Source organism: Homo sapiens, chromosome 14, assembly GCF_000001405.40.
Source record: "Homo sapiens chromosome 14, GRCh38.p14 Primary Assembly".
NCBI lineage: Eukaryota > Metazoa > Chordata > Mammalia > Primates > Hominidae > Homo > Homo sapiens.
Window position 1 is genome coordinate 102,899,534 of NC_000014.9, and position 18,683 is coordinate 102,918,216.

General features: G+C 56.8%; 1 protein-coding gene across 17 annotated transcripts in view, besides 8 other annotated features; it reads left to right on the forward strand.

The window, feature by feature from the left end:
- The window catches only part of TRAF3 (TNF receptor associated factor 3), a 134,052-nt gene extending 122,085 nt beyond the window's left edge, over positions 1-11,967 (forward strand). For all 17 annotated transcript variants that reach the window (NM_145725.3, NM_001385142.1, NM_145726.3 and 14 more), the window contains 2 exons: positions 3,722-3,896; positions 5,680-11,967. In NM_145725.3, coding sequence (NP_663777.1) covers positions 3,722-3,896; positions 5,680-6,251 — 747 coding nt within the window. In that variant the 3' untranslated portion in view covers positions 6,252-11,967. The remainder of the gene's footprint in view (positions 1-3,721; positions 3,897-5,679) is intronic.
- Positions 651-1,152: an enhancer, noted in NCBI's record as "H3K4me1 hESC enhancer chr14:103366521-103367022 (GRCh37/hg19 assembly coordinates)". NCBI's record gives its function as "activates a minimal SCP1, AML or CMV promoter by ChIP-STARR-seq in naive H9 embryonic stem cells {active_cell/tissue: H9 hESC(naive)}" and the evidence as "EXISTENCE:reporter gene assay evidence [ECO:0000049][PMID:30033119]".
- Positions 1,153-1,652: an enhancer, noted in NCBI's record as "H3K4me1 hESC enhancer chr14:103367023-103367522 (GRCh37/hg19 assembly coordinates)". NCBI's record gives its function as "activates a minimal SCP1, AML or CMV promoter by ChIP-STARR-seq in naive H9 embryonic stem cells {active_cell/tissue: H9 hESC(naive)}" and the evidence as "EXISTENCE:reporter gene assay evidence [ECO:0000049][PMID:30033119]".
- Positions 1,971-2,400: an enhancer, noted in NCBI's record as "active region_9091". NCBI's record gives its function as "activates an Ori minimal core promoter by ATAC-STARR-seq in GM12878 lymphoblastoid cells {active_cell/tissue: GM12878}" and the evidence as "EXISTENCE:reporter gene assay evidence [ECO:0000049][PMID:35858748]".
- Positions 13,559-14,148: an enhancer, noted in NCBI's record as "H3K4me1 hESC enhancer chr14:103379429-103380018 (GRCh37/hg19 assembly coordinates)". NCBI's record gives its function as "activates a minimal SCP1, AML or CMV promoter by ChIP-STARR-seq in naive and primed H9 embryonic stem cells {active_cell/tissue: H9 hESC(naive and primed)}" and the evidence as "EXISTENCE:reporter gene assay evidence [ECO:0000049][PMID:30033119]".
- Positions 14,149-14,738: an enhancer, noted in NCBI's record as "H3K4me1 hESC enhancer chr14:103380019-103380608 (GRCh37/hg19 assembly coordinates)". NCBI's record gives its function as "activates a minimal SCP1, AML or CMV promoter by ChIP-STARR-seq in primed H9 embryonic stem cells {active_cell/tissue: H9 hESC(primed)}" and the evidence as "EXISTENCE:reporter gene assay evidence [ECO:0000049][PMID:30033119]".
- Positions 15,082-15,582: an enhancer, noted in NCBI's record as "H3K4me1 hESC enhancer chr14:103380952-103381452 (GRCh37/hg19 assembly coordinates)". NCBI's record gives its function as "activates a minimal SCP1, AML or CMV promoter by ChIP-STARR-seq in naive H9 embryonic stem cells {active_cell/tissue: H9 hESC(naive)}" and the evidence as "EXISTENCE:reporter gene assay evidence [ECO:0000049][PMID:30033119]".
- Positions 15,190-15,239: a silencer, noted in NCBI's record as "silent region_6133". NCBI's record gives its function as "represses an Ori minimal core promoter by ATAC-STARR-seq in GM12878 lymphoblastoid cells {active_cell/tissue: GM12878}" and the evidence as "EXISTENCE:reporter gene assay evidence [ECO:0000049][PMID:35858748]".
- Positions 17,177-17,316: an enhancer, noted in NCBI's record as "active region_9092". NCBI's record gives its function as "activates an Ori minimal core promoter by ATAC-STARR-seq in GM12878 lymphoblastoid cells {active_cell/tissue: GM12878}" and the evidence as "EXISTENCE:reporter gene assay evidence [ECO:0000049][PMID:35858748]".

Sequence of the window (18,683 nt, forward strand, 5' to 3'; positions counted from 1 at the left end):
TCATTGTTCCTTGACAAGCTCCATGCTGCTGCACAGATGTCTTTTTCTCCTGCTTCCCTTCCTGGCCAGCTCCAGGCACTCCTCCAGCCATGTTTGTGGACCAGCTAGGTGATGAGGGCACACGTCACTTGGGGTCTTCTTCTTTCTTCCTTGTCTGATTCTCCAGTAGACCCTAAAGCCCTGGTGATGGCGGGAGTCGAAGCACAGAGGGCCCGATGGCCTGGCTGTGGCAGTGGGGGTGCAGGCAGGGGGTCAAGGAGTGGAATTCAAGAGTGTCTTTGCTTTTTTGCCTGTCCGGGGAACGATGAGTTCTTAATATTTTACTTCTTAAATATCCTGTTTTTCTTTATTAAGAAGACAGCCAGGCCGGATGCAGTGGCTCACATCTGTAATCCCAGCACTTTGGGAGGCCGAGGCGGGCGGATCATGAGGTCAGGAGATCGAGACCATCCTGGCTAACACGGTGAAACCCCGTCTCTACTAAAAATACAAAAAATTAGCCAGGTGCGGTGGTGGGCGCCTGTAGTCCCAGCTACTCGGGAGGCTGAGGCAGGAGAATGGTGTGAACCCGGGAGGCGGAACTTGCAGTGAGCCGAGATAGCGCCGCTGCAGTCAGGCGTGGGAGAAAGAGCAAGACTCCGTCTCGGAAAAAAAAAAAAAAAAAAAAAAAGACAGCCTAGGCCGGTAGGCCGGACACGGTGGCTCACACCCATATTCCCAGCACTTTGGAAGGCCGAGGCGGGTGGATCACGAGGTCAGGAGTTCAAGACCAGCCTGGCCAAGATGGCGAAACCCCGTCTCTACTAAAAATAGAAAAATTAGCTGGGCGCAGTGGCAGGCATCTGTAATCCCAGCTACTCGGGAGGCTGAGGCAGAAGAATCACTTGAACCCAGGCGGCAGAGGTTGCAGTGAGCAAAGATTGCGCCATTGCACTCGAGACTGGGTGACAGAGCAAGACTGTCTCAAAGAAAAAAAAGAAGATAGCATAGGTGCGAGCATGACCCAGGCTTCTGGTGTCAGTGGACTAGATGAACTGGTGGTTCTTACAGTCAGGGGGTCCACAGGGCACACGTAGAGGAGCACGCACTGGGACAGAAGGCAGGGACGTCCATCCACGCGGCCTTCACTCAGGCTGCCGGCACCACCGGGCTTCTCACAGCGCCGGGCTTGTGTGCCAGGGTCGCAGTGGCCTGAGAGTGAGGCATCACAGCAGGTGACACGGTTGCAGCCCTGGCATGCAAGTGTATAAGGCTCACGGGCTGATGCTCCCTGAAGGCAAACCTTCTGATTTGGATTGTTGATGTGGAGTGCAGTCTGTCTCTTCAGCTCTGTGTCGGAGTCTTTTTTCTGTACAATTCCATACCTGCACTTGAGATTTATTTTTTATAGAAACTGCAGTGACTGAGTGTAGACCGTTCTTCAAGGATGAAATCACGTTTGCTGCGTTTTAGAGAACACTTGATGTGACTCTGCGTTCTGCTTTGAAATGGTGCCATTGATACAGATGAAGTGCCTGTTTTAAAAATAGCCCGAGTTCCCTTGCTGCTCATGGAGACGCCTTTTATTTAGTCGTGCTGGTCTGTGCATGCGGTGCACGCATGTTGTGTGTTCCTGACTCGGGGGCCCCTGCTGTGTGGGGGAGTCCTTGCTGGAGACTCCCCGTTCTGTGCTTGAGGTCAGGCGTGCCCTTGCGTAGCACAATCGCGGGGAGGGGTGGCTCGGTGCCATCCCCCTCTTAACCTCGGGGGCCTGAGGCTCAGCGTGAGGCGCAGCTTGTCTTGGGCCACCCTGCCTGGGACTCATGCTTCATTTCGGGGTTTGCTAAGTTACAAAGGGCGTCTCTCAGACCTCTGTTGATCAGGTTTTCATTAACTTTCCCCTGCCACTCGCGAGCACCCCTGCCAGCTCAGTGTGCGTGTTAGAAGGTGGAGATGCGAGAGGCTTCCGGTGCTCACTAGAGGAGCCGTGTATTTGGATGTTCAGTGTCGTCAGTGGTATTGTCCCCCAGCAAATAGACTTGGTGAGCTAATTAAATATCCTTCTGAACATGTATGATTGTGTAAAATAAAGGGACAGTGACAGTGTCAGTTTAAAGGGACAGTGACAGTGGAAAGAGGTGTTCTTTAGAGAAATTATCCTTACTTTTTAGAGGTTAACTAATATCATGTTTCTTGGAAAGAACAGGAAGAATAACACTGCTTTTACGCCCAAAAAGCCACCCAGACCTGTCATGTTTGTGTCTTTGTGGTTAATAACAGCCAGCAAAGGTGCTGAAACCTAGATGTTTAAAAATAGACTTCCAAAAGGAGAAGTGAATTCAGGGGGCCCTGGGGCCCGCCCCTCGAGCACCCGGTGTGGCCCTCAGCTTGTGAGGTGGCTCAGTCATTCCACAGCTGCATTGAGCACTGAACTCTCCAGCCATCACAAGCTGCTTGAAAATGCACATCATTTTTTGAAGTGAAAACCCTTTAAGTCCCTGGCTTCATCTCACAGGTGGACACTCCAGCCCCTTAACACAGACTGGGCCACCAGGGCGGAGTACAGCTCCCACCCCTCCAGGTAGTGACAAATATGAGCAGCCTGTGTGTTTTGGGAAAGGGCTTTCTGAATTAGTTAAATGAAGTAGCATAAAGTCAGGCCTGGTTACTGGCAGCCTCGTGTGTTCGTGGCAGGGTTTCTGCGTTCCTGCCTCCCTCGCTGGGGCCTGGCAGCCTGAGTGTGGAGCTGGAGGGGGAAGACCCCTGCGTCTGCAGCATCGGCCCACTGGGTTTCACCTAGGGCCTGAGGACATGCCTTGGGGCCCTTTCCTGCCACCATCCAGGTGGGAGGGGTCTGAGGAGTGGGAGTCTTCTCCTGGGACCCTGGGGTCGTTCTGGGGAACCCCCTGCAGCCACAGAGACAGGACTGTGCTTCTGCCCCAGACCCAGCAGCAGGGTAGGAGGCCTTTAGACGTTCCAAGGGAAGATGAGGCCACATGGGCATGATTCTGGCATCCTAAACCTGAGACCCTGTGGCAGCCATGCAGGGCCACCTGTCCCGTGGGACCTGCACTTACAGGGGTGAGGCCTCTCTGGGAAGCAGGGACCCTCTGTATTATGGCCCCCGAGGTATACGAGGGCTGCAGAGGAGATGTCCATGGGAGCCTTGTGGCCCCGCACAGGTGCTGTGGCCTGGGAGAAGAGCTGGGAGGGACACATGGGAGTGTGAGGGTGAGGTCGGATCCTGGTATCTGAACAGGAGAGCTGGTGGGGTTGGCTGATGCCAGGGTGTGGGTGTGTGAGAAACAGGCGGGCAGGCGGCACCAGTGCCACTGTGAAACAGGGAAGCCTGCTGTGGGCAGCAGAAGCATGAGCTGCTGCCTGCCCCAGAGACAGTGGAGACCTCTCCCCTGGTCTTCTGAACACTTGCCACCTGTCACTTTGCTTTCCTGATGGCTCTCTGTTGACAAAGCAAGCTGACTTAGTGGAGCCTCCTGTTGTTTTCTTCCATGTGGCTTCATGTCACCTCGAGTGCTCCCTGCCGGCACAAGCACTTGATCCCAGGGAGCTCCCAGGAGGCCTGATGCAGAGCCCCACTCCTGGAGTCAGAGCCGCGGGTGGCAGGCCTCATACAGGGGCCTCTGACTGTTCTGCTCCTAGCCTGTCTGTATTTGATGGAAGGTGGTGCAGCATTTTCCGAGTCCTAACTGTGTTTTGCTTTTTAACACCTTTGGTTTGGAAGCGAGTGATAGACAGCCAAGCAGAGAAACTGAAGGAGCTTGACAAGGAGATCCGGCCCTTCCGGCAGAACTGGGAGGAAGCAGACAGCATGAAGAGCAGCGTGGAGTCCCTCCAGAACCGCGTGACCGAGCTGGAGAGCGTGGACAAGAGCGCGGGGCAAGTGGCTCGGAACACAGGTGAGGCAGGGGCCGGGGCCGGGCCAGCAGTGTGCATCTGGGCCCCGGGCGAGTGCTGGGGCGGGGTCCGTGGGATGAGGGCTATGTTAGGTACATGTGCCTTAGGACAGTTTTTTCTAATTATGGGTAACACGCAGAGGTGTGATGACTTTCCTACTGAAAGTCCCCCAGCAAAGACAAACGTTTCCCGCGCAGGCTTGTCCCCTCCGTGTGAGGCCCTACATGGTGTAGAAAGTAGGGGCAGCTGCAGCCACGGGAAGCTGCAAAGCCCTCCTGGGAGAGACTGGCCGCAGGGTGACCCACAGGACAGGCCCAAGCGCAGATGGCAGAGGCCAGGACCTGCTGGTCGGGGCGCCCCAGACCCCACTCCTAAGGGCCAGGGGGCAGCAGTCCCACCGCGCTCTGCCAGCATGTTTCTGATCCACAAGCAGATGTGGGCCTATGGCTTTGGGGACTGAAAGAGTATTGGGAATATTTACATGAGGAGGATTAATGGCAGAAAGGAACACAGATTACCGGTGTGTGTGTGGGGCCGGATGAAGCAGGCAGAGAATGAGGTTGGAGGAGAGGGGAGCAGCTTCGCCTCCAAGAGAGCAGAGGCCACCTGTGGGTGCTGAGGCCGGAGGGAGGAGTGGGGAGAGCACAGCTGTCTCCTGCTCCCAGGAGCTCCCACCAGCGGGCTTCCCAGGAAGCCACAGTGGAGCACTCTGTCTTGGACCCTGCAGTGAGGTGTCCTTTGACACACAGGCAGGTCAACCGCCCAGGACATCCCCTGTCAGCAGTCTGTGCCTAGTAATGTGTCCAGACAGACAGGGCTGTGGGCATGAGAGCTGTGGTAGAACTGGGGCAGGGACCTGGGCTCTTCCCTGGGAGGCGGTGGCCTCAGGACATCTTCTACACAGTTTTGCTGGTGTTACCCCCAGAAACCACAGTGATTTTTATATTGTTGCTTCAGATGCTGGTATGACTGGGCATGGTGGTGTGGCCTATAGTCCCAGTGCTTTGGGAGGCTGAGGCAGGAGGATTACTTAAGCTCAGGAGTTTGATGCCAGCCTGAGCAACAGAGCAAGACCTTGCCTCTTTAAAAATTAAAAAATGAGGCCGGGTGCAGTGGCTCACGCCTGTAATCCCAGCACTTTGGGAGGCTGAGGTGGGCAGATCACGAGGTCAGGAGATTGAGATCATCCTGGCTAACACGGTGAAACCCCATCTCTAGTAAAAATACAAAAAGTTAGCCGGGCATGGTGGCGGGCGCCTGTAGTCCCAGCTACTCGGGAGGCTGAGGCAGGAGAATGGTGTGAACCCGGGAGGCGGAGCTTGCAGTGAGCCGAGATTGTGCCACTGCACTCCAGCCTGGGCGACAGAGCGAGACTCCATCTCAAAAAAAAAAAAAAAAAAAGAGCCAGGCACGGTGGCTCACGCCTGTAATCCCAGCACTTTGGGAGATCGAGGCAGGTGGATCACCTGAGGTCAGAAGTTCGAGACCAGCCTGGCCAACATGGCGAAACCCTGTCCCTACTAAAAATACAAAAATTAGCCAGGCGTGGTGGCAGGCACCTCTAATCCCAGCTGCTCAGGAGGCTGAGACAGGAGAATCGCTTGAACCTGGGAGGCAGAGGTTGCAGTCAGCTGAGATGGTGCCACTGCACTCCAGTCTGGGCAACAGAGCGAGACTCCGTCTCAAAAAAATGAAATAAAATAACGAGTGCTGGTGCAGCTTTGCTTTCCTAACCTCTCTGACGTTCACCTGTCTCATTCACCAAACCCTCCTCACCTGTGGCAGGCCTGCTGGAGTCCCAGCTGAGCCGGCATGACCAGATGCTGAGTGTGCACGACATCCGCCTAGCCGACATGGACCTGCGCTTCCAGGTCCTGGAGACCGCCAGCTACAATGGAGTGCTCATCTGGAAGATTCGCGACTACAAGCGGCGGAAGCAGGAGGCCGTCATGGGGAAGACCCTGTCCCTTTACAGCCAGCCTTTCTACACTGGTTACTTTGGCTATAAGATGTGTGCCAGGGTCTACCTGAACGGGGACGGGATGGGGAAGGGGACGCACTTGTCGCTGTTTTTTGTCATCATGCGTGGAGAATATGATGCCCTGCTTCCTTGGCCGTTTAAGCAGAAAGTGACACTCATGCTGATGGATCAGGGGTCCTCTCGACGTCATTTGGGAGATGCATTCAAGCCCGACCCCAACAGCAGCAGCTTCAAGAAGCCCACTGGAGAGATGAATATCGCCTCTGGCTGCCCAGTCTTTGTGGCCCAAACTGTTCTAGAAAATGGGACATATATTAAAGATGATACAATTTTTATTAAAGTCATAGTGGATACTTCGGATCTGCCCGATCCCTGATAAGTAGCTGGGGAGGTGGATTTAGCAGAAGGCAACTCCTCTGGGGGATTTGAACCGGTCTGTCTTCACTGAGGTCCTCGCGCTCAGAAAAGGACCTTGTGAGACGGAGGAAGCGGCAGAAGGCGGACGCGTGCCGGCGGGAGGAGCCACGCGTGAGCACACCTGACACGTTTTATAATAGACTAGCCACACTTCACTCTGAAGAATTATTTATCCTTCAACAAGATAAATATTGCTGTCAGAGAAGGTTTTCATTTTCATTTTTAAAGATCTAGTTAATTAAGGTGGAAAACATATATGCTAAACAAAAGAAACATGATTTTTCTTCCTTAAACTTGAACACCAAAAAAACACACACACACACACACGTGGGGATAGCTGGACATGTCAGCATGTTAAGTAAAAGGAGAATTTATGAAATAGTAATGCAATTCTGATATCTTCTTTCTAAAATTCAAGAGTGCAATTTTGTTTCAAATACAGTATATTGTCTATTTTTAAGGCCTCATCTGGTCTCTGTTTTAATAATTTGTTTGTCAGAAGACCCTGAAGTATATACCTAGGTCTTTTTTTTGAAAGTCTCTAAATTCAGAATCATTTTTTAATTTAAAGTTCTACAAATAATTGTTACTGCAAACATTTTATTTTAAAACGTTGATAGACTGATATTTCTTGGAAGAAAATATAAAATATCAAACACTGGTTATCACTTGTGATAGGAAAGAGAATATTCAACCTGTTGTTATTTCTCGTTAGAAATGTAAACCTTCAAATATCTGTCGTAGTTAATGACACGACTTCACAATTCTGAACGGAGCCTCGCTCATGGATGCTGTGCATCATTTTCAGATTTATAATTGTTTTCACCCTAAAATAGGGCATCCGTTGAACTTTGGAGTTCTAAACAAAATCCTGTAGGTGTTTGGATTCTGCCCCATGTGTTCGGACGAGCTCTCTGTTGCTGACAGCACCGGCCTTCGGTCTCCATGTCAGGGGTGGGCGGGTGACTGCTGAGGGAGGCCCGCAGGTGTGTTTCTCCATCCCGTCATCTTGCTGCATGCCGTCAACGGTCTCCGAAAGCAACGTTGTGCGTAGAGCTGGTGGCATACGGCCCACGTGCCTTAGATGGGACATGCTGCTTCTCCACCCTGGGTTTGCATTGAGCATCATTCTAGAAAGTGCTAGTTTAACCAGACTTTTCTCTCCACCACTAGATCTTTGTCTCTACAAGGGCCCTCAGACACCTCTGCACCTGCTGAGGGGAAGCCAGGCTCCACCGTCGGCTTCTGGAGCCTCCGCTGCTTAATTACCACAGATTCCAAATCTCTAGGCCCCACGAGTGAGCCGCCTGGTCCAAGTACGGCCTGGTCCCACCCTGAGGGAGGCAGGTGTGGAACAGAAGCCGAGCCTCTCCGTGTCCCCACCGGGGCCGTGGGCACCCCCACAGCCCGAAGCAGAACCCTCTGAGCATTCCAGAGACCGCTGCTCGGGGGCCTGCCCAGGCTGACCAACGGGCGCTCCTGACCACCACCCTGGCGGGAAGGGTGGCCACGGGGCCCGTCGTCCCAGCCTGTGCCTGCCCAGATGGCATTTTCTCAACTCACTGTTTACTGTCTCTCAGTGTCCAACTGTGATTAGAAGCCTGGAGCCTGCCCCCTGCACCCCTTTTGCTATGCACCACGCTTCATGGTGCTCTTACCACTGATGGGTGCTACACGCGACGGGTGCTTCTTAGGCAAAACCAATGTGTGCGAACTGTCACACCTGTGCCACTCGCCCACAAGCCGCGCCCACAATTGGCCAGCTGGGCCGTGCACGTCAGACTGCCTGCCTCGGCTCTCCCCGTGGCCGCGCGGGGACAGCTTGGTGGGTGCCCGGTGGCCCACCTGTCTCTGGTGCTGCCATCTGTCCTGGGTGTGCCTTCGCCCCAGTGCCTGCTGGAAGTGCCCTCCGTCGCACCCCTGTGCCCTGAGCTCCCGTGAGGGGCCCGCCGCGCCCTTTCGCGGTCGAAGCGTTCCGTTGTTCTTATCTGCCTTTCCTTTCCCCGCTCTCCTGGGATTACTTTGGGGGAATGAGTATCCTTGGTTCTGCCCTGTGAGGGAGTCGTGTGTCCCTGCTCATAAAGGAAGGACTTCCTGCAGAAGCTGCGGAAAACTACTGTTCCCTCGAAGGTGTCCCCCACCTGAGGCCTGTCCCCTACCTGCCCTCAGGTAGTTTTCCTGAGGCCAGGGGTTAACAACAGGGACATCCCTGCAACTTCCCCTTCACAAAATGTATAATATTAGATGAAGGATATGCAACATCTTGGTCTAGTAAGAACCGTTTCCTCCCCTCTGGGTTGAAGTCCTGGTGTGGCCCCCAGAAGCAGCAGTGCGTGTCACTGGGACGTCTCCAGTAGCCCTTCCCAGGCAGACGCTCCTGGCGGGACGCCATGGGGCCCACCTGAGGGTCCCACAGACGTAACCTGAGTGACAGGAGTCCTTGAGGATGGGATGGCCTATGTCACACACTTTGTCCTTGAACCTGAGTGATGGGGGTCCTTGAGGATGGGATGGCCTGTGTCACGCGCTTTGTCTTTGTGTTTGGTTGTATCGGGGTCTCTGTTCTGAGTGTGTCTTCCTCTCATGTACTCAACACAGTGGGCAGCAGCCTGGGACGGCGTCCCCTCTCCCGGCGGCGGGCAAGCCTTGCGCTGCTCCACCCTCGGCCTGGGCACCCTCACTTGGCGCTGGCCACCTGGGCCAGCCTGGGGCCATGGTCTCTCTGCAGCTGAGGCCCAGTGGCCCCTTGGGCAGTGATCGGCCCTCCCCGCATCACAGGGCCCTGGCAGCAAGCGGGAAATGGGGGCGCACACTGTGTGCTTGGGGGTGCTGCTTGTTTACCACACATGACCAGACTCCCAGCAGGACAGAGCTGCTCAGTACTTTACAGAAACCAACTGAGTCGTTTGTGCATGAATTAAGCCGGTCTGCTTCCCCGTCACCTTCGTAACAAAACAACGTCCCCTCTCCCCTCGCCTCGAGCAGTTTCTTCAGGACACCGTGGCTCGGGCTGCTCCCTGCTGCCAGGCACGCTGGTTGGCTGGCCTGGGCCCGGCTCACGTGAAGGGCACTGGCTCTTGTGACCACACTGAGCCACGTGCAAGCCGCAGCCGGGCCTGGAAGCCTGACCCTCTGGTTCTAGGGCTTGTCCCGCGGAGCCTGCAGAGCTAGACGTTGGGGTGTGTCCGTGATGATATGGGGGCCAGGCTGGGAGTAGGGCCTTTCTAGCAGGGTTGGGTGGCTCAGTGAGGGTGTGGAAGTGGGGGACCCACGGGGCCTGGCTTTGGGACTAGACATGCCAGCCCCAGCTGGGCTGGAGGGAGCCTGAGTGAGCCCCGACATACGCTGGGCCTTTCAGCTCGCCGTGCTCTGGTGACACACAGGCGGCCAGGTTGGGATTTGTGTCAATTCTAGGAGCCATCAAGCATGAATGTGGTTCTGTCTCCTGAGCGCAAGCCTCGCCGGACCCCTGGGCGAAGGCCTGGACTTGCAGATGTGTGTTCCCTGTGCGGGTGGACAGAGGGGGCCCTTATGACCCACATTGCAGCCCCATTCCACCACCCCTTCCTCCCCAGAGCAGTCTCTGCCGAGGGACAGCACCTGTGTCCCTTCGATGCCACAACAGCCAGTTGAACAGGGGAGCCCTTTGCTCAGGCAGCTTCTCCTGCCTCTCCCTCCTTTCTCCTTCCCTGCCCCATCCCCGTGCCCTTCTTGGCCTGTGGCGCTGGGGAGCCATGGTGTGGCATACTGGGGCTCCTGCTCCTTGGGCCACTTCCTCAGCCCGGGCCCCACAGGCCCACCACCTGCCAGGGCTCCCACTGCACTGGCTGTGGCAGGAGGCTTCCCCATGACCCCGTGTGGCCCAGCTCGGTGAGGATGCAGTTCTAGGCACAGCCCCTGGGACAGCCAGCTGCCTCCCAGACCACGTCAGCCTGCTCCAGGGTCCTCAGTCACCCTGGGCCAGGGGCCACGTGTCCCATGGATGTCGACCATGCCAACGTCACATTCCAGCACCCCTTTTGCTTGATGGCGTCTGGTGGTAGTCAGCATGGTGGACCCACATCCTACAGCCAGAGGTGATGTTGGACAAAGGAAGGGGAGTCTGGATGGGTCCTTAAACGACCATTCTGTCCGCAGCGGGGTCATTCCTTGTCAGCCCAAGGGAGGGCCGGGGAGTACACTGATCCCAACAGCTGGGCTGACACCTCCTTTCTCCCCTGCACGGGGAGGATTGGCCTGAGGACCGTCACCCTGTGCACAGCCCCAGTAGGGTGGCAGTGCCACTGTCTCCTTGGGCCGTTGCAGGATTGGGCGGGTGCAGACTCCCCTTGCGGGCCCCTTGCTCAATCCCCGGCCCTCCCAGACTCCTCCCTCTACTGGGGGTAATTTGTGTGTCAGAAGGGCTCTGGCAGAGCTGTAAAATACTGTTTTTTAAAAATTTTAGTCCAGATCTTTACTTATTAGACTGCAGAAGGAGAGCTAGGGAGAGTGGGGGAAGCCCCCTTGCTTTTGTATCTGTGAGGTGAATGAGGGTCTGTCACCCAAATCTACTTCTCAGCCCATGACCATAGTTCTGTTTTCCGTTTGCAAATCTCAGTAGCTCTGTTTTCTCCAAAGTAGAATGTGCGCACCGGGGTCCTAGCCAGGCGAGGTCAGTGTCGGCAGGCTACCTGGTCATTATTGCTGCCTCGTCCAGGCTGATGCTGATGGTCACAGGCACGGTGGCATCAGGGAGCCGGGCCAGCAGGCGGCGTGAGGCGGGGCCAGCAGCTCACTGCAAGGGCATTTTCCACCTGATCCTGGTGTGCCCCACATGCGGTGGCAGGGCAGACGTGTGAAGCCTCGGCCGTCTCGGGGCTGGCAGGTGTGCGGGTGAGGAGGCCCCGGTGGCCAAGCAGAGCCTGCGTTTCATTTCTCCTGCTGCACTGTGTCTAGTCTGTCTTGTGAACTCTCACCGTGAAAAGAGGCTAGAAGTCCAGGATCGCTGTACCGCTCCTGTAATTAGGTGATGACTGGATTTGACAACTTAGTCCCCTCAGACAAGTAAGATACCCTCCAACAGCAAATTCAATGACTTAATTGGAAAACACACAAGCTGGCATGATGTCCGGTGATTTCTGTAAGAAATGCCTGTAGGAGAAGGTCTGTGAAGTGTGGAGGGCAGTGTCGACGCTGCACAGCATCTGCAGATTCGCAGCCTCTTCTCTGCCGGTGCCTCTGTTCGGTTCTGTTACCCAAAAACAAAGACCAAAGAAGGCCAATCTCTCATTTGACCCTGTCTTTTTAATCTGCCTGTTTTAAAAGTTGCGTCTGTAGTAGCCGCTTGCTGTGAAGACACATCTTGACAGTCCAAGTGATTTTGTGACCAGTGATTTGGGTCCTGTTTTCCGCTCTTCTAAGAAAAAACAAAAAGACCGTGAGTTATTGCCCAGCAATAATCATGTTGTTACTGTGAGTTAGCAACATGCCTGACTTCCTGATAGCATTACTGTTTTCTAGTTTTGTTTATTGTATATTATGTGTGGTTTTATTTGGTATTTATTTGTGTTTTGAGGTCTTGCAATGTTTTTGTGTTTCTGATGCTAATAACTAAAGTTTGTAAGACTGTAGAATGCAAAACTCGGAGATGCTAAACTGTCTTATTAGAGGAAAATAAATCTGATTATGGAGTCTCAGTCTCTGATCACACCGTCTCTTGCAGGCTGGGCCCCAGGTGAGTGGCTTCCCTCCTGCCGGACTCCCCGGGCTGTCCTCTCAGTGGCTGGGCCCAGTATGGCCGCCTGGCCAAGACCTGTGTGGCCAGAGGCCCGTGCTTGGTTTGCTGCCCTCTGTCACCGTCTTGAAATACTTTGCAATTCTCAGCGAGGGGCCTGCCGTCGCCTTTTCCACTTTGCTTACAGTTTTGCCTGCGGCCTTTAACCTGAAGGGAATCCCAGGGGCCAGGCTCGCAAATCTGTGTCTTGGTCCAGAGCAGATAAGGCGGAGCTCTGACCTCCTGCCCGGACACGTGCCCGCCATCTGGCATGGTGGAAAGGGCGTGCTGGACCCACAGGCCTGGGGTCAGTCTCAGCTCCACGACTTCGTGGGACTTTGGAATCTTCGAGCCTCAGTTTCCTCCTCTGTCCGTTGGAAGGACAGCACCTCCTTCCACGCCGAAACAAGGTGGTTAATGAGGAGTGACACCAGTGCTGATGTGCAGGCGGCTGCAGGGTCTGGGCAGTGTCCTTCTGGCAGCTGCTCGTGGCAGTTAAGGGCTCCTGGGCTGTCACCGCCACCATGGCCTGCCTTCCATTTCTCCAGGAAGTTGTTTGGGTCAGGCCTGGTAGCAGGAAGCCCTGCATCTCCCCCAAAATTATCAGATGGGGAGAACCGCTCAGCCCTCCCCCACTGTCCTGCCACTCCCAGGGTCCCCTGCAGCCACCACAGCGCCCTGCTCAGTCCCTCCCCATCCTTCAAGGCACTGCATGGGGCCACATCCAGAACAGATGCCATCGGTCCCCACGTGTGGCCCACTGAGCAGGGAGGAGTGGACCTAGGAGCAGCACCCCAGGGTCCTCCCTCAGGGTCTCAGGGCCTCTCCTGAGGGTCCCTTGCCAGCGCAGCACCAGCCCCGCCCTCTCTGCGGGCCCACACCACCCCTGCCGTGCCCTGGCTGGTGGCAGTAGTGGGGCGCTGGAATCCTGGGACTGGCAGCCTCCACCCCACACACGATGGGGAGCCTGTGGTACCTTGGCTCCCGGGAGCTGCCCCAGGACACAGCCTTGCTGGTCCTTCCGTCTGGGGGATCCCAAATCCTCACACCCCTGTGGTGGGGGCCTGCGCTCCATCCATCTCCCTGGGCGCTCAAGCCCAGGGTCCTGCCGCAGCCTTGAGGACACCGGGACACCTATGGAGACCAGGCAGTGTGCAGTTGTCACCGCTGACCGCAAGTGTGAGCTGGGCCGGGGGTGGGATGGCGAGGACAGCCAGCGCGATGTGCCGATGAATGGGGAATGTCAGCTGGAGGCTTGAGGGATTGCAGAAACTGGATTCCTTTTTTTTTTTTGGAGACGGAGTTTCACTTGTCACCCAGGCTGGAGTGCAGTGGCGCAATCTTGGCTCACCACAACCTCTGCCTCCTGGGTTCAAGCAACTCTCCTGCCTCAGCCTCCCAAGTAGCTGGGATTACAGGCATGCGCCACCACGCCTGGCCAATTTTTTGTACTTTTAGTAGAGACGGGGTTTCTACCTGTTGGTCAAACTCCCGAACACAGGTGATCCGCGTGCCTTGGCCTCCCTTTTTTTTTTTTTTTTGAGCTGGGGTCTCTCTCTGTCACCCAGGTTGGAGTGCAGTGGTGTGATCTCAGCTCACTGCAGCCTCAACCTCTCAGGCTCAAGTGATCCTCCCACCTCAGTCTCCTGAGTTGCTGGGACCACAGGCGCATGCCACCATGCCAGGCTAATTTTTGTATTTTTAATAGAGACGGTTTCGCCATGTTGCCCGGGGTGGTCCGGAACTCCTGAGCTCAAGTGATCCCCCCGCCTCGGTCTCCCAAAGTGCTGGGATTACAGGCGTGAGCCACCCCCGGCCTGGATTCTTGCACCCTCCTGGGAGTCCTACAGGAGAGGAGATGGGCGGCAAACCCCAAGACCTGCTGGACTGGCCTGGGCTGAGGGTGCTGGTGGGGACATCTGCAGAGCTGGCCTCAGATCATGCAGCAAGAAACGGCGGGGGGGAGGAAGGGGAGCTTCTGAGCTGCTCCCCCCAGGGCATTGGGCAGGGACTCCCTGCCCCCAGCCTGACGTCCAGACCTCAAGGGGGTTGGAGGGACTGAGTCCAGCCCTCAGGTGCACACCGGGCCATCACCTGGCTCCGTCCTGCTGTGGGGCAGCCCAGATCTTGCAGGGAATTGGGAACCAGGGGTGTCACAGTCTAGGCCTAGGGAAGGAGGAGGCCGTGGCCCTCGCCTGCCTCCCCTCAGCTCAGGGGGCTGCTCTGTTCTGGCCCAGATGAGTGATGCCGGAAGGGGAGCGGTGCAGAGCAGGGAGGCACACGCTCAGAGCCCTCCGTGGCCCTGACTCTGCACTGCAGCAGCCCCCACGCCCAAGAGTCAACCCAGCATCCAAACCAGGGAAGAGTCTGGACTGAAAGCGCAACCGTACTTGGTGAGAGGCCGGTAATCTCGAGTTCTGGTAAGGAAAGCAAGGCCTGGGGCGGAGGCTGGGGCTCGGCTGCTGGGCTGGATCAGGCGGCACACCCGGCTCACACTGCCCTGCAGTCCTGTGGGAGACAGCGGCACTCGGACCCGCTCACAAGCCCTGCAGGACACCAGTGGAACCACATGGGTGGAAGCCTAGAAATCAGATTCTGAATTGAAGTCCAGGGGGTTTTCTGTTTTCTGAAAATGAGTAGTTGCATAATCTAACCCTAAAATCAACCATTTCTTGTTAAAAGACCAGAAGAACCAAAGTGCTGTGCAGGGGAGGTGTCCGCGCCGCCTATGCTTTTTGTCTTAGTTTTTTAATTTTCAAGGTCATCCTTAAAGCCTCTGCCTTGACCCTGCAGCCACAGGTGACTTGGAGGCTGGAGGCCAGGCCTGGGGTCTGTGTCCTTCAAATAAATGCCTCAGTGCCGCTTGGGGGACTCGGTCCTGTGCCGGAGTTACTCGATTAGAAGTTAAAGGTGGAGGGGAAAGACACCTGTGGGGCCATCCCAACCCACTTCCTCCACTCAGACCACAGCTTTGAATGGGCTCAGTCCCCAGGGACCCCCAGGCCCCAGGGTCAGCCTCGCAGGGCAGAGCTCAGAACCCCCTGCCCAGACCCCAGGGAGCCAAAGGGGCCCAGATCTGGGCACAGGGCAGGAAGAGGGCTGGCACCTGCTGGGAGGGGTCTAGGAGCCAGGGGCACAGCTCACATGAGTGCATACCCAGCACCTCTGCTTCATGTCAAAGGGAGATGATGCTGGCGTCCACCCGAGAGGCCACATGGAAAGCACTCGACATGGACAGGACATCGCCCACAGGAAAAACCCCTGCAAGGGACCTTGGACCTTGGGGAAGGCGGCTGTGCCCTCCCGGGCTGGGCCTTGCACCCTGGCCTGCAGCCATTCGGCTCGGAGGACTCCCGGCACCCACAGGCACTTGGCTCCCGCCACTTCCCTGGCCCCTGTGGCACTTGGGGCTCCACAGCTCTCCGACTCCCTGCTGAGGGTTGAGCCGTTTGCAAGCATGTGTCCCCATGTGTGCTTGAGGGCCGGGGGCACCTGTGCATATGGTCAAGGGCCTTCTGTGCACACATGGCACCTGCAGTGTGGTCCCAGCCGTTCCTCAGCACCCGTGGGCCCAGCTCCATCTCGGGCGGCCTGCTTGGCGCAGCTCTCGCTGGTCACCTCGTGCCGGGTGACTGCTCTCCATCAGCTGTGCCCGGGCTCCACATACATAGCCCGGGTCACATCCACTCACGTCCTGGTCCAGCCAGCCTTGCGGGGACTCTGCCCAAGGAGGGACAGTAAGGGTTTTTGAGTACCAAGTCAGTGACCCTGACTGCCAGCAGCGGCTCCTCTTGACCCGGAGGCCGGTGAACACCTGACAACATTTCCCTCCATACAGCGCAGGGGCAGGGGCAGATTAACCCTCCGTGCGGAAGGAGGAGTGGAGGTGGAGGCGGGACAGTGGCTGGCCCCTGGTCCAAGTCTTGCAGAGCCCTCCCCATCTGGGGTGGGGTTGAAGCAAGTCACTCAGGGGCAGCTTCCTAGCTGGTGCTCCCGAGACCCTCAGCTCCCCAACACCCTGATGTCCTCCTCCTTCCTCCCATTGTCCATGGATGGAGAAGGGACCAACGGTTCCTCCGGGGCTGAGCTCTCGTCTCCTGGTGCTCCTGCTTCCCTACCCCCCAACCCCCAGGCCAGGGCTGCAGCCTGAAGGGGCACTGGGTCCCTGCGCCCTGTGAGATGGGCGCTGCCACCCTTGCTCTGCAGGTGACGAATGGAGGCGAAGTGAATTGCAGTGTCATATGGCATTTGAGTCCTAGACAGCGCCCAGGACTGGTCCGACCACCGCTAGATGCCACCAGGGGGGCTCTGCCTGTCCCCCACCCCAGCAGACAGCAGGCCCAGCCCCATCCAAGCTAGGTGGAGACCCCTGGTCCATACCCTCCTGGGCTTCCCTCTGAGTTGTATCCAACCCACCCAGCAACAGCTGCTCTCAGCAAGCCTCCTGGCCTCACCTGCACTCTCTTCCCTCCTCTCCTGCCTCTTGCCTTCCTTTTTTTGTGAGACAGATCTTGCTCTCTCGCCCAGGCTGGAGTGCTGTGGCGCAAGCTCAGCTCCCTGCAACCTCTGCCTCCTGGGTTCCAACAAATCTCCTGCCTCAGCCTCCCAAGTAGCTGGGATTACAGGCACCCATCACCACGCCCAGCTAATTTTTATATTTTTAGTAGAGATGGGGTTTCACCATGTTGGCCACGCTGATCTCGAACTCCTGACCTCAGGTGATCTGCCTGCCTTGGCCTCCCAAAGTGCTGGGATTACAGGTGTGAGCCACTGTGCCCAGCCACCTTCCTTTAAAAACAAAAACAAAAAACCCCAAAAACCTGAGGTCTTGCTCTGAGGCCCAGGCTGGGGTAATCGCAGTTCACTGCAGCTTCAACCTCCTGGGCTCAAGCAATTCTTCCTCAGCCTCTGCGGCGCCGGGACCACAGGCATGAGCCACTGCACCGGGTGTTCTTGGCTCCCTCGAAGCATCCCTCATGTTCCCGTCTCAAGGCCTTGGCGGGCTCTTTCCCTGTCTTGCTGATGTCCCAGGCCCACCCCACCTTTTCCCTGGCCCTGCCATGTGCAGGAGGCAGGGCTGTCACTCTTGCTGCCTCCACACCTCAGGGGAGGCTGTGAGCCAGCGTGGCCAGTCAGAGCACAGCAACCTCAGGCTACAGGAACTGGTGCAGAGTTGGAGACAGGAACCAATCAGAGACCTCACTGAGACCCTCCTGCCATGGCCTGGTCAAGGAGGTGGTGAGTCTCACTCTCCCAAGACACCTTCCCTGCCACGTGGAGAAGGCCGTGCACACGGAAACCAACACAGGAGGGCCGCCAGCCATAGCGGAGACAGACACAGGGACCAAGAGACTGAGACAGCCTCTAGATGCTGAAGCCTGCGCTGAAGCAGTTGGGCCGTGAGAGGTTCTTCTTACTGGAGGAAACTCCGGGGCTTTGCATTTCTCCACGTCCCTGCTGAGGTTCTGAGCCATTTGCAAGTTTGTGCCCTCATGTGTGCCTGAGGGCCGGGGGCACCTGTGCATATGCTCAAGGGCTTTCTGTGCACACATGGCACCTGCAGTGCGGTCGCAGCCATTCCTCAGCTCACATCTTTGCATGTGAGTGGTTCTGGTACCGCTTGTCTGCCCAGCGCCCTGGTGCCTATCTGCTGCCTCATGTGAGCTCGCTGGGCCACCCTCTGACTGCTGGACCCACCTCCAGAGGCCACTCAGGGCAAGAGAGATGGATCCCAATACCCCACCCAGCCAGCCCCAGCCCCCTATGGTCTGCCACCTTCAATTCAACCTCCTCACTGTGGCTGCAGCTGTGATCTCATCCTTCCTGTCTCATTTTAATGCCACCTTTTTCAGGAAGCCTCCCCTGACCAGGAAGCCAAGTGGCCTCACTACCCTCTCCACACAGCACAATCTAGGAATGGCCTGCCCAGGTGGAGCAGCAGTAGTCAAAGAGGCTCCATTGCTGCCCCAAGTCCTGGCCGTCCAGCACTCTGGACTCCCCTGAGGCCCCACCATCAGGAGAGGGAGCCCCAGCCTCTGGGCCCTTTCAGTCCTGGCTGTGGCCCTGAGCACCAGGGGTGAAGTTTGCTGAGCCTCACCTGGCCCTCTGCATTTATGGTGGCGGTGGGGATGGGGGGCAGAGCCAGACACTCAGGGGTGAAGCCCAACGCAGCCCTGTCAGTCAAACTGCCTCCTTCCCACTGAGAAGCAAGACAAGGGGCAAAACAGTTGTGACCCCCAAGTATCCTGTTTGTTCCTGGTTGAGGACATGTGAGTCCAGCAAGGGGCAGCCAAACTCCAGGACCGTGAGGACCCACCCTCCCCGTCCTAGGCTGGGCCAGCACCACAGAGCCACTGAGCGCAGGGACCTCTGCTCAAGGCGATCCCTCCAAGGTAAGGGGCAATGCTGGTGGCATCAGAGATGTCGAGGCAAGGCGCCCACCCGGGACACAAAAAGAGGCAGAGCTCCCCCCAGTGGCGGCTCCTTCCTCCCCGGATGCAGCATATCACTCATGAAAGAAGCAAATACCAGGCCAAGCAAAGGGGTGCTCATGGCAGAGTCTGCAGATGAGGGGTGGGGGTGCAGGAAACAGCAGGATGGCCTGGAGGGTGGAAGGCCCTGGAAGTCTCCAAGACTGAG